The 11661-nt window shown below is 50.3% G+C and overlaps 1 protein-coding gene and 2 pseudogenes across 1 annotated transcript; all 3 read left to right on the forward strand.

The window, feature by feature from the left end:
- On the forward strand, positions 1 to 10886 carry CELA3A (chymotrypsin like elastase 3A). Its single transcript, NM_005747.5, has 8 exons — positions 1 to 61; positions 1347 to 1432; positions 3791 to 3888; positions 4006 to 4140; positions 5222 to 5358; positions 5717 to 5859; positions 8049 to 8201; positions 10794 to 10886. Exons 1-8 carry the CDS (start codon positions 19 to 21, stop codon positions 10809 to 10811), a joined length of 813 nt encoding a protein of 270 aa, NP_005738.4. The 5' UTR covers positions 1 to 18; the 3' UTR covers positions 10812 to 10886.
- Positions 8994 to 9290, forward strand: RN7SL186P (RNA, 7SL, cytoplasmic 186, pseudogene; annotated as a pseudogene).
- RNU6-776P (RNA, U6 small nuclear 776, pseudogene) lies at positions 9329 to 9432 on the forward strand (annotated as a pseudogene).
- Positions 10887 to 11661: the final 775 nt, after the last annotated feature.

The following is an 11661-nucleotide window of genomic DNA, read 5'->3' on the forward strand; positions in this document are numbered from 1 at the left end:
CCTATCATCACAAAACTCATGATGCTCCGGCTGCTCAGTTCCCTCCTCCTTGTGGCCGTTGGTAAGACCCCAACCTGTCTGTGTGCTCCCTGGGCTGCCCTGGACTAGGAATCCTTGAAATCTACCACTCGCTCTGAGTCCCATGACATGCTATGCCTGGTTCCACAGGAGGGGGTCTCAGCTTGTACCCGGGGGCATGACTGTAGGGGCTTTCAGCTTATGATGGAGCAGGAGAGTGGAGGGGAAGCTGTGGATGGTGAAAGACCCCCAAAGGGCTGTGGTGGAAGTCCTTGATGGGGGCAGTAAACAAAGTCAAACGGTTAAGAGTTTGGACTGTGTGGTTGGACTTCTTGGGTTGGAATTTCCACAGTTCTACTTACCACTCCAACTCTCCTCTCACTCCCCCTACCTGGCTCCATATTCTATGCTCTGGCCTTTTCCTGGTCTCTCTGCCATATTACATTCCAGCTCAGGGCCACCTCTTCCAAACAGCCTCCCTTGACTGACAATAATGGTAACAGATAACATTGATTGAGTGCTTACTATGCCAGGCAGAATGTTTAGGGATTTTCTTATACTTTCTCATGTAATTCTCACAACAGCCTCAGGAGATCAGTACTATCATTATCCCCCATTTTACTGACCCTCAAGGAAGTAAAGTAGCTTATCATAGAACAAAAGGCAGAGCTGCACTTAATGTTTTTATTTTTTGCTTTTTTTTTGTAGAGATGGGGTCTTGCTTTGTTGCCCAGACTGGTCTCAAAATCCTGGCCTCAAGCAATCCTACCACCTTAGCCTCCTGAGTAGCTGAGATTATAGGCACATGCCACCATACCTGGCTACTTTATTTTATTGTACTTTATTTTTCTAGAGATGAGGTCTTGCTATGTTGCCCAGGCTGGTCTCAAACTCCCGGGCTCAAGCGATCCTCCCGCCTCGGCCTCTCAGAGCACTAGGATTACAGGTGTGAACCACCACACACAGCCCAGAGCTGCACTTTGAACCCAGGAAGTCCTTCTTTAAAGCCTCCACTCTGTATGACAATAGCTCTCACTTTTTGAGGGCTCATCGAGGGCCAGGCATTGTTCTAAGTGTATCAAGCTCTTCAATCCTCCCAATGAAGGAGGCCACATTTGAATCTCTATCCCTGGACTCCTGGGATTCTGGAAAGCCCTGCTCTAGTTTAAATGTTCACTGTTCATATGTGGTTACTGAGGTCCAGAGGGCGAAAGGGGCTTGCATGGGGTCACACAGCCAGTTGAAGGCATGGCTTGGACTGGGACCCTGGCCTCCTCTTTGCTTTTGGGGACCCTCCAGCTGATTGACAGCTCTCCTCTCCCCTCTAGCCTCAGGCTATGGCCCACCTTCCTCTCACTCTTCCAGCCGCGTTGTCCATGGTGAGGATGCGGTCCCCTACAGCTGGCCCTGGCAGGTAAGAGCAATAGCAGCTGCCCTCATTCCCACCGTGGGCTCTGGACCCTAAGCTCTAATGGCGTGGCATCCAGCCTTGACACCATTGCTCCCTTTGCAATGTCCACTTCAGCTTCCAAAGACCAGGCAGCCCTTGGACCATCTACTTCACGGGGAGGTTTTGCCCGTTTCATCTGTAACCCTCACTGGGCTATTTGCAACTTAAAATTGGAATCGGGGGTGAAGGAAATGCTAAACTCAAGGAGTTGGCACACTGATGGTGGAATTTCAGGCACTGTGTTGACGAAGTGAGATTTTGAGAGACTCATTTCTAGATTCCTAGGATGATACTACAGGGCTTTGAGGTCTGAAAGCAATAAGGGAGTGAGGGATCTTGTAAGGCCAGTGGAGGGAAGCTCAGAAGGCTGGACTTGATGTGCTGTGGCTATTTAAATTTAATTAAATTAGGCCAGGTGCGGTGGCTCACGCCTGTAATCCCAGCTACTCAGGAGGCTGAGGCAGGAGAATCCCTTGAACCTGGGAGTTGGAGGTTGCAGTGAGACAAGATTGCACCACTGCACTCCAGCCCCGGGCAACAGAGTGAGACTCTGTCTCAAAAAAAAAAATTAAATTAAATTATTATTACTATTATTATTGAGACAGAGTTTCACTCTTGTTGCCCAGGCTGAAGTGCAATGGCACAATCTTGGCTCACTGCAAACTCTGCCACCCGGGTTCAAGCAATTCTCCTACCTCACCTCCCAAGTAGCTGGGATTACAGGCACGCGCCACCAAGCCCGGCTAATTTTGTATTTTTAGTAGAGACAGGGTTTCACTGTGTTGGCCAGGCCAGTCTGGAGCTTCTGACCTCAGGTGATCCACCTGCCTCGGCCTCTCAAAGTGCTGGGATTACAGGTGTGAGTCACTGCACCCAGCTGAAATTTACTTACATTAAAAATGTTAACAATTCATTTCCTCAGTGCTTTTTTCTTTTCTTTTCTTTTCTTTGTTTTTTTTTTTTTTGAGACAGGGTCTTGCTGTGTTGCCCAGGCTGGAGTGCAGTGGTGTGATCTCAGCTTACTGCAGCCTTGACCTCCTAGGTCCAAGCAATAATCCCACCTCAGCCTCCTGTGTAGCTAGGACTACAGGCATGCGCCACCATGCCCAGCTAATTTTTATACATTGTTGTAGAGATGGGGTCTCACTATGTTGCCCAGGCTTGCCTCGAACTTCTGAGCTCCAGTGATCCTCCTGTCTTGACCTCCCACAGTGCTGGGATTATAGGCGTAAGCCACCATGCTTGGCCTGCTTGCCACATTTCAAATGTTCAATAGTCACATGTGGCTAGTGGCTACCATATTGGACAGCAAAGATATAGAACATTCCCATGATTATGGGAAGTTTTATCGGAGAGGGTCAGCAGGCTTATTCTGTAAATGGCCAGAGAGTGAATATTTTAGGTTATTTGATGGTTTGGATAGTAATGACTTGACTGTGCCATGGTAGCATGAAAGCAGACACAAACAATACAGAAATGAATGTGACTATTTCCAGGACATCTTTATTACAAAAACAGACCAGAAGCCTGATGTGCCCCACTGTCCACAGTTTGCTAACCCTGGTCTAGATGGAGCTTTTGAAAATCAGAATGTGTAGGAAATGGGAAGAGAGGCAAAGAACTCATCAGGGTGAGCTGTGCTTCAGAAGGCTCAAGAGGCCTTGAAAGAGCTGAGGTTCAAAAGAGTCAGGGGGGCTGGGCGCGGTGGCTCACGCCTGTAATCCCAGCACTTCGGGAGGCCGAGGTGGGCAGATCACCTGAGGTGAGGAGCTCGAGACCAGCCTGGCCAACATGGTGAAACTCCGTGTCTACTAAAAATACAAAATTAGCCAGGCACGACGGCAGGTGCCTGTAATCCCGGTTACTGTGGAGGCTGAGACAGGAGAATCGCTTGAACCCGGGAGGCGGAGGTTGAAATGAGCTGAGATTGCCACCATTGCACTCCAGCCTGGGGAACAAGAGCAAAACTCCATCTCAAAAAAAAAAAAAACTCACAGGGCGAGGGGTGCGTGATAGAACAGAGGGCCTTCAAGGGCTGTTAAGAGACAGAAGGTAGAGAATGTTGGGGTCCCCAGGGAGGTCATAGTGCTGGTGTGGGGAGGCTTTGGAGAATCAGAATGTGACCCCCATGGAAAAGTGATAGGGCCACCACGGGCAGCTGCCCAGGTCGCAGGTTGTATGCTGCATATTTCAGTGGGTGCTCTCGTTTTCCATGTGAATGGCGCCCTCTAGAGTTGCACAGTGCACAACCTATACAGCCATTGGTGGCAACTCTCATGGTGGGGCCCAGCCCACTGAGGCCCTTTCCTCCTGGGCCACCAGGTTTCCCTGCAGTATGAGAAAAGTGGAAGCTTCTACCACACGTGTGGCGGTAGCCTCATCGCCCCCGATTGGGTTGTGACTGCCGGCCACTGCATCTCGTGAGTTCTCTACCCTGTCCCTGCCTGTGGCCCTGGGCAGCGGGGGAGAGTGGGTGATGATGGGGAAGGAGGGAGGTGAGCCAGTCAGGCCCCGACTGACCTCACCTCTGCCTGCAGGAGGGATCTGACCTACCAGGTGGTGTTGGGTGAGTACAACCTTGCTGTGAAGGAGGGCCCCGAGCAGGTGATCCCCATCAACTCTGAGGAGCTGTTTGTGCATCCACTCTGGAACCGCTCGTGTGTGGCCTGTGGGTGAGTGAATGCTCCGGTCTGGAACCCAGGGGCTCCTCTACTTGTCCCTCCATGACCCACAGCCAAGTCTGAGTAGGCTCCAACTCTGAGTAGGGACGTAGGGACATAGGGACATAGGGACAGGGGAGCTGAGTCCAGCAGCCTGTGCCCAGGTCCCACACACTGAGGATTGAAGCCAGCAGAGCCTTTAAGGACCATCACCACCAAACCTGTCTCCCTACAGAGGGGATGGCAGTGTTCAGGGAGGGGCAGGAACTCTGCCAAGGCCACTTGGCTAGTGGCTTCAGAGCTCAGGGTTCCTCTGGCATCCTTCCCCCATATCCGAGGGTTTCTCCATTCAATAGATGGCTCACCCAGTGCATCCTGGGCTCCCAGCACTATGGGCAAAAGGAGGAGCACTGGGCTGAGAGTCAGGCTCTGGCATTAACTCTGTGTATGGCCTGAGCAAGTCACTGGCCTTCTCTGGGCCTTAGTTTTGCCATTTGTCAAAAGGTGACCATGAAGTTGGGCTTCCTGGGTGGTGTGAAGGCCAAGGAGACAATCTTATGCCTTTCAAGTGTATGAAAAAATCTTAACAAATATTAGCCAGGCGTGGTGGCATGAGCCTGTAATCCCAGCTACTGGAAAGGCTGAGGCAGGAGAATCACTTGAACTCGGGAGGCGGAGGCTGCAGTGAGCCAAGATCATGCCACTGCACTCCAGCCTGGGCAACAGAGCGAGACTCTGACTCAAAAATAAATAAATGAATAAATAAAATTCCTCAGCCTTAAGAACGATTTGGGCCAGGTATAGTGGCTCATGCCTGTAATTCCAGCACTTCAGGAGGTGAAAGCAGGAGGATCCCTTGGCCCAGGAGGCTGCAGTGAGCTATGATTGTGACACTGCACTCCAGCCTGGGCAACAGACCGAGACTCTGTCTCAATAATAATAATAATAATAATAATAATGATGATGAAAGAGTGGATTTGGAGGGTAAAGAAGTTGGGGCATCTCAGAGGTGGAATAGCCTGGAGCAACGGCTAGAAGGTAGGACTTGGGCCGGCTGGAGGACCAGGCCCCGTGACTGTTCCCTCCTCCCCAGCAATGACATCGCCCTCATCAAGCTCTCACGCAGCGCCCAGCTGGGAGATGCCGTCCAGCTCGCCTCACTCCCTCCCGCTGGTGACATCCTTCCCAACAAGACACCCTGCTACATCACCGGCTGGGGCCGTCTCTATAGTACGTGCTGACTTCTCTAGCTGGCCACAGAGACAGTGGCAGAAAGACAGGGCCTGGGGGCTGCAGGTTGAAGGTAACACCAAGACCGGACCTTGTACTTTTCTCCCATTTCTCTCCAGCTGCAGCCTTCTTCCATCAACCTCCAAAACACGAATGTGGTCAATTGCACATGTTTTGGTATCTTCTGTGTGCCACGTGCTAGGGATGTAATGGTGCACAAAGCATGCAGGACCATTTAGCGGGTGGGAGGAGAGTCCTCATCAGGGCAGAAGAACTGTGGGCCTTGAATGCCCCCTTCCTCTGGGGCACCTAGCGGTGTGCCCCCAGACCCCTGACTCGGTGCTTTTTATCCTTGCAGCCAATGGGCCACTCCCAGACAAGCTGCAGCAGGCCCGGCTGCCCGTGGTGGACTATAAGCACTGCTCCAGGTGGAACTGGTGGGGTTCCACCGTGAAGAAAACCATGGTGTGTGCTGGAGGGTACATCCGCTCCGGCTGCAACGTGAGTCAGCTCTTACCTGCCCGAGGTGGTGCTGGGTGTGCAGGACCTTGGAATGGGGCCAACTGCCTGGAAGGTGGAGGAAGGATCTTGCCTGCTTGCCCCATTCAGCCTCCAGGCCAGGCAGGACTTGGAGGAAATCAGCGCAGTCCAGACACAGAGCCCAGGCCTGGGAGTCAGGACCCCCGGGTTGCAGTCTCAGCTCACACACTGACATGACTTGGGACAAGTCACTGTGTCTCCCTGGTCCTCAGGCTTCCGCATCAGCACAGCAGGAGATACTGGTCCCATGACCTCTAACGCAGGTCAATTCTGTGGTTCTAAAGTTATAATTAACCATTAAGAATACCATCATTGTTCTGGGCACAGTCCCTCCTGCCTATAATCCAAGTGCTTTGGGAGGCTGAGGTGGGAGGATTGCTTGAGGCTAGGAGTTTGAGACCAGCCTAGGTAATATAGTGAGATGCCCATCTACAGAAAAACTTTTTTTACTTAGTCAGGCATGGTGGCACTCGCCTGTAGTCCCAACTACTTGATAGGCTGAGGTGGGAGGATTGTTTGAGCCTGGGAGTTCAAGCTCACAGTGGCTATGATTTTTGCCACTGCACCCAAGCCTGGCGACACAGCAAGACGTTGTCTCTTTTTTTTTTTTTTTTGAGACAGGATCTTGCTCTGTTGCCCAGGCTGGAGTGCAGTAATGCCATCATAGCCCACTGTAGCCTTGCCCTCCTGGGCTCAAGCAACCCTCCAATGTCAGCCTCCCAAGCAGCCAGGAGTACAAGTGTGTGCCACAATGCCTAGCTAATTTTTAAATTTTTTGTAGAGATGAGGTCTCACCATGTTGCCCAGGCTGGTCTCTAACTCTTGGGCTCAAGTAATCCTCCTGCCTTGGCCTTCCAAAGTGTTATGTTTACAGATGTGAGCCACTTTCCTGGCCAAGACCTTGTCTAAGAAAAAAAAACAAAGGCTGGGCGCGGTGGCTCACGCCTGTAATCCCAGCACTTTGGGAGGCCGAGCCGGGCGGATCACGAGGTCAGGAGATCGAGATCATCCTGGCTAACATGGTGAAACCTCGTCTCTACTAAACACACAAAAAGTTAGCCGGGTGTGGTGGTGGGCGCCTGTAGTCCCAGCTACTCGGGAGGCTGAGGCAGGAGAATGGTGTGAACCCAGGAGTTGGAGCTTGCCGTGAGCCGAGATCGCGCCACTGCACTCCAACCTGGGTGACAGAGCGAGACGCTGACTCAGAAAAAAAAAAAATACTATCAAATACCCTCATTGTATTGTAATTGAGTATGAATTAATAATTAACTATGGTGCCACTAATAAGAACTATGTTTATCGAGTGCTTCTTCTCTACTGGATATCGTGCTAAGATCGTGCATCATCTCATGTAATTCCCTAGGCTCTTGGACAGATACTACTATTCCCTATCACAAATGAGTCAGCTGGCTGGGCGTGGTGGCTCACACCTATAATCCCTTTGGGAGGCCCCGGCAGGTGGATCACCTGAGGTCAGGACTTTGAGACTAACCTGGCCAACATGGTGAAATCCCATCTCTATTAAATATGGCTGGGTGCAGTGACTCACGCCTGTAATCCCAGCACTTCGGGAGGCTGAGGCGGGCGGATCACGTGGTCAGGAGATCGAGACCATCCTGGCTAACACGGTGAAACCCCGTCTCTACGAAAAATACAAAAATTAGCCGGGCGTGGTAGTGGGCACCTATAGTCCCAGCTACTTGGGAGGCTGAGGCAGGAGAATGGCGTGAACCCTGGAGGCAGAGCTTGCAGTGAGCTGAGATCCTGCCACTGTACTCCAGCCTGGGCGTCAGAGTGAGACTTCGTCTCTAATAAAAAATAAATAAATAAATAAACAAAAATTAGCCGGGTGTGGTGGCAGGTGCCTGTAATCCCAGCTACTTGGGAGGCTGAAGCAGGAGAATCACTTGAACCTGGGAGCCGGGAGACGGAGGTTGCAATGAGCCAAGCTTGCGCCACTGCACTCCAGCCTGGACAGCAGAGCGAGACTCCATCTAAAAAAATAAAAATAATAAATGATAAAAAAATGAGCGAGCTAAGGCTCAGAGGTGTCAAGTAATGTCAGAGTTTCTTGAAATCCCTAGAATTCAGAACCAGTTCCGTAAACCTCAGACATGGCTCAGCCACCCACTCCTCTCTGACGGTTCCAGGGTGACTCTGGAGGACCCCTCAACTGCCCCACAGAGGATGGTGGCTGGCAGGTCCACGGTGTGACCAGCTTTGTTTCTGCCTTTGGCTGCAACTTCATCTGGAAGCCCACGGTGTTCACTCGAGTCTCCGCCTTCATCGACTGGATTGAGGAGGTGAGGAGGGCAGGGCGGCCCGGAGGGCTTTAGGGTGGTGGCTCTTCTGAGAGGTGACAGGTGAGAAACATCGGATCCTGGGGAGGGCCTGAAAGGATCCTAGAAGCTCAGTGGGGAAGGGCCCTTGGGGACATTCCAGAAAGGCTTGGGGATGTTTTCTGATACAGTGTGACCCCAGGAACTTGATGGCTTCTGGGTGGTGCTTGGAACTACAGCTGAACTTCCTTATTTCAACAAGTATTTATAAAGTATCTCCTCTGGTCTTGTCCTCTCTTGTCAGGGAGGATAGAGAGACATGCCAGACAAGAGGCTGCCTGGTGGGGGACAGGTGATTACATGAATGAGAACGATGCAGTCTGATGAGAGCCGAGAGAGGGGAGTCCAGGCCCCAGACTTCATCTGGGGATGGGTGATCAGAGAGGACTAATAACGCTCATGGTAACAGTAATAGCTAAACAACAAAAAAAAAGAGAGTAATAGCTGGGCATGGCATAGTCATGCCTGTAATCCCAGCACTTTGGGAAGCAGAGGCAGGTGGATCACGAGGTTAGGAGTTCAAGACCAGCCTGGCCAAGATGGTGAAACCCTGTCTCTACTAAAAATACAAAAATTAGCCGGGCATGGTGGTGGGTGCCTGTAATCCCAGCTGCTTGGGAGGCTCAGGCAGAGAATTGCTTGAACCTGGGAGGTGGAGGTTGCAGTTAGTCGAGATCATACCACTGCACTGCAGCCTGGGTGACAGAGCGAGACTCCGTCTCAAAAAAAAAAAAAAAAAAAAAAGAGTAATAGCTAGCTGGGTGCAGTGATGCCCACCTGTAGTCCCAGCTACTTGGGAGGCTGAGGCAGGAGGATCGGTTGAGCCCTGGAGTTCTGGGCCATAGTGCGCTATACCCATCAGGTTCTGCACCAAGTTTGGCATCAATGTGGTGACCTCCTGGGAGTGGGGACCACCAGGTGGCCTAAGGAGGGGTGAACTGTCCCAGGTCAGAAACAGAGCAGGTCAAAACTCACATGCTGAAAAGTAGTAGGATCACACCTGTGAATAGCCACTGTACTCCAGCCTGGGCAACACAGCAAGAGCCTCTCTCTTAAAAAAATGAAAATAAACTAAATAAAATAAAACAGTAGTGCTTGCTTTGGCAGCACATGTACTAAAATTGGAATGATATAGAGATTAGCACGGCCCCTGCGCAAGGATGACATGCAAAGTCATGAAGCCTTCCAATAAAAAAACATTTCTGGTCGAGTGCAGTGGTTCATGCCTGTAATCCCAGCACTCTGGGAGGCCAAGGCCCATGGATCACCTGAGGTCAGGAGTTCAAGACCAGCCTGGCCGACATGGTGAAACCCCATCTCTACTAAGAATACAAAAAATTAGCCGGGCGTATTGGTGCATGCCTGTGGTCCCAGCTACTCAGGAGGCTGAGGCAGGAGAACTGCTTGAATCTGGGAGGCGGAGGTTGCAGTGAGCCGAGATTACGCCACTGCACTCCAGCCTGGGTGACAGAGCAAGACTCCATCTCAAAAACAAAAACAAACAAACAAACAAAAAAACAGTGATGATTTATAGACCATTTAATCCCTTGGTTCCCTGACCCATGTTAAAAAAATATATATATAAGGCCAGGCACGGTGGCTCATGCCTGTAATCCAAGCACTTTGGTAGGCCAAGGCAGGTGGATCACAAGGTCAGGAGTTCGAGACCAGCCTGGCCAATATGGTGAAACCCTGTCTCTACAAAAATATAAAAAAATTGGCCAGGCGTGGTAGTGCGTCGCTGTAATCTCAGCTACTTGGGAGGTTGAGGCAGAAGAATTGCTCGAACTCAGGAGGCAGAGGTTGCAGTAAGCTGAGATTGTGCCACTGCCCTCCAGCCTCGGTGACAGAGCAAGACTCTGTCTTAAAAAAAAAAAAAGGCCGGGCGTGGTGGCTCACACCCGTAATCCCACCACTTTGGGAGGCCGAGGTGGGCAGATCACGAGGTCAGGAGATTGAGACCATCCTGGCTAACACGGTGAAATCCCATCTGTACTAAAAATACAAAAATTAGCCAGGCATGGTGGCGTACGCCTGTAGTCCCAGCTACTTGGGAGGCTGAGGAAGGAGAATGGCATGAACCCAAGAAGTGGAGGTTGCAGTGAGTTGAGATCGTGCACTCCAGCCTGGGCAACAGAGTGAGACTCTGTCTCAAAAAAAACCAAAAAAACAAAAAAAATATAGATTTTGTTTATATATATACACATACATACGTATATATATATACACAAACACATACGTATATATACACACAAATACGTATATATATACACACACACATATACACACACATGCATATACATATATATATACATACACATCCCATCTAAATTTGTGCTGGGCATTGTAAAGAGAACCTTAGTTAACAATTTAATCAAGAACCCCCCCATGAGGTAAGTTCTATCCCTACTACATAGAGGAGGAAACTGAGGCTCAGAGAGGTCAATCCCTCTCCCAGGGTCACACAGCAGGGCTGGAAGTTGAACCCAGTTTCATCTGACTCCAGAACCTGTGCTCCTAAATTGACTATTCTGTCTGCCCCCCCAACTTTTCCAGACCATAGCAAGCCACTAGAACCAAGGCCCAGCTGGCAGTGCTGATCGATCCCACATCCTGAATAAAGAATAAAGATCTCTCAGAAAATTCCAAGTTGAATCTTTCTTTCTTTGTTGACTCACCTCTTCCCCTCTGGCCTGTTCCTAAAATCTTAGATCTCATATGCAGAGACAGGACCAGGTCCAACCCTTTCATACGAAGATGAGGGAAAAATGATGCTGGGAGAGAAGGGAGTTGCTGTGCGGTGACCTGACCATCCTGGTTTGCCTGGAACTTCAGGAGTGAAGACACTGGACATTTAATGCTAAAACTGGGAAGGTACCAGGAAAAATGGGACAAGTTGGTCGCCTTAGTATATAGTCGCACATAAGTCAGTAGCTTTTCAATGCAGGCATATAAACATGGTAAAACTCTGCAGATAAACAGACCCTGCCAGCCCTTGAGGAGGCTCATGGTAGAGTGGGAAGGACAATGTGTGTTCTGCTTCCACTGATGGGCTGGGGGCTTTGGTATTCGTCCATTCAACAAACACTTATTCCTTGTTTTAGAGGAGGGCTCAGAGGGGTAAGGAGACATGGTTCCTGCCCTGAAGTGGCTCATTATTTAAAGATAGCTCTCTTAGTCTGTGTTCATACTGCTATAAAGAACTGCCCGAGACTGGGTAGTTTATAAAGGAAAGAAGTGTAATTGACTCACAGTTCAGCATGGCTGGGGAGGCCTCAGGAAACTTAAAATCATGGTGGAAGATGAAGGGGAAGCAAGGGACCTTCTTTACAAGGTGGAAGGAAGGAAAATTGCCTAGCAAAGGGGGAAGAGCCCCTTATAAAACCATCAGATCTGGCGAGAACTCACTCACTATCATGAGAAC

Source organism: Homo sapiens, chromosome 1 (assembly GCF_000001405.40).
Source record: "Homo sapiens chromosome 1, GRCh38.p14 Primary Assembly".
NCBI classification, from domain to species: domain Eukaryota; kingdom Metazoa; phylum Chordata; class Mammalia; order Primates; family Hominidae; genus Homo; species Homo sapiens.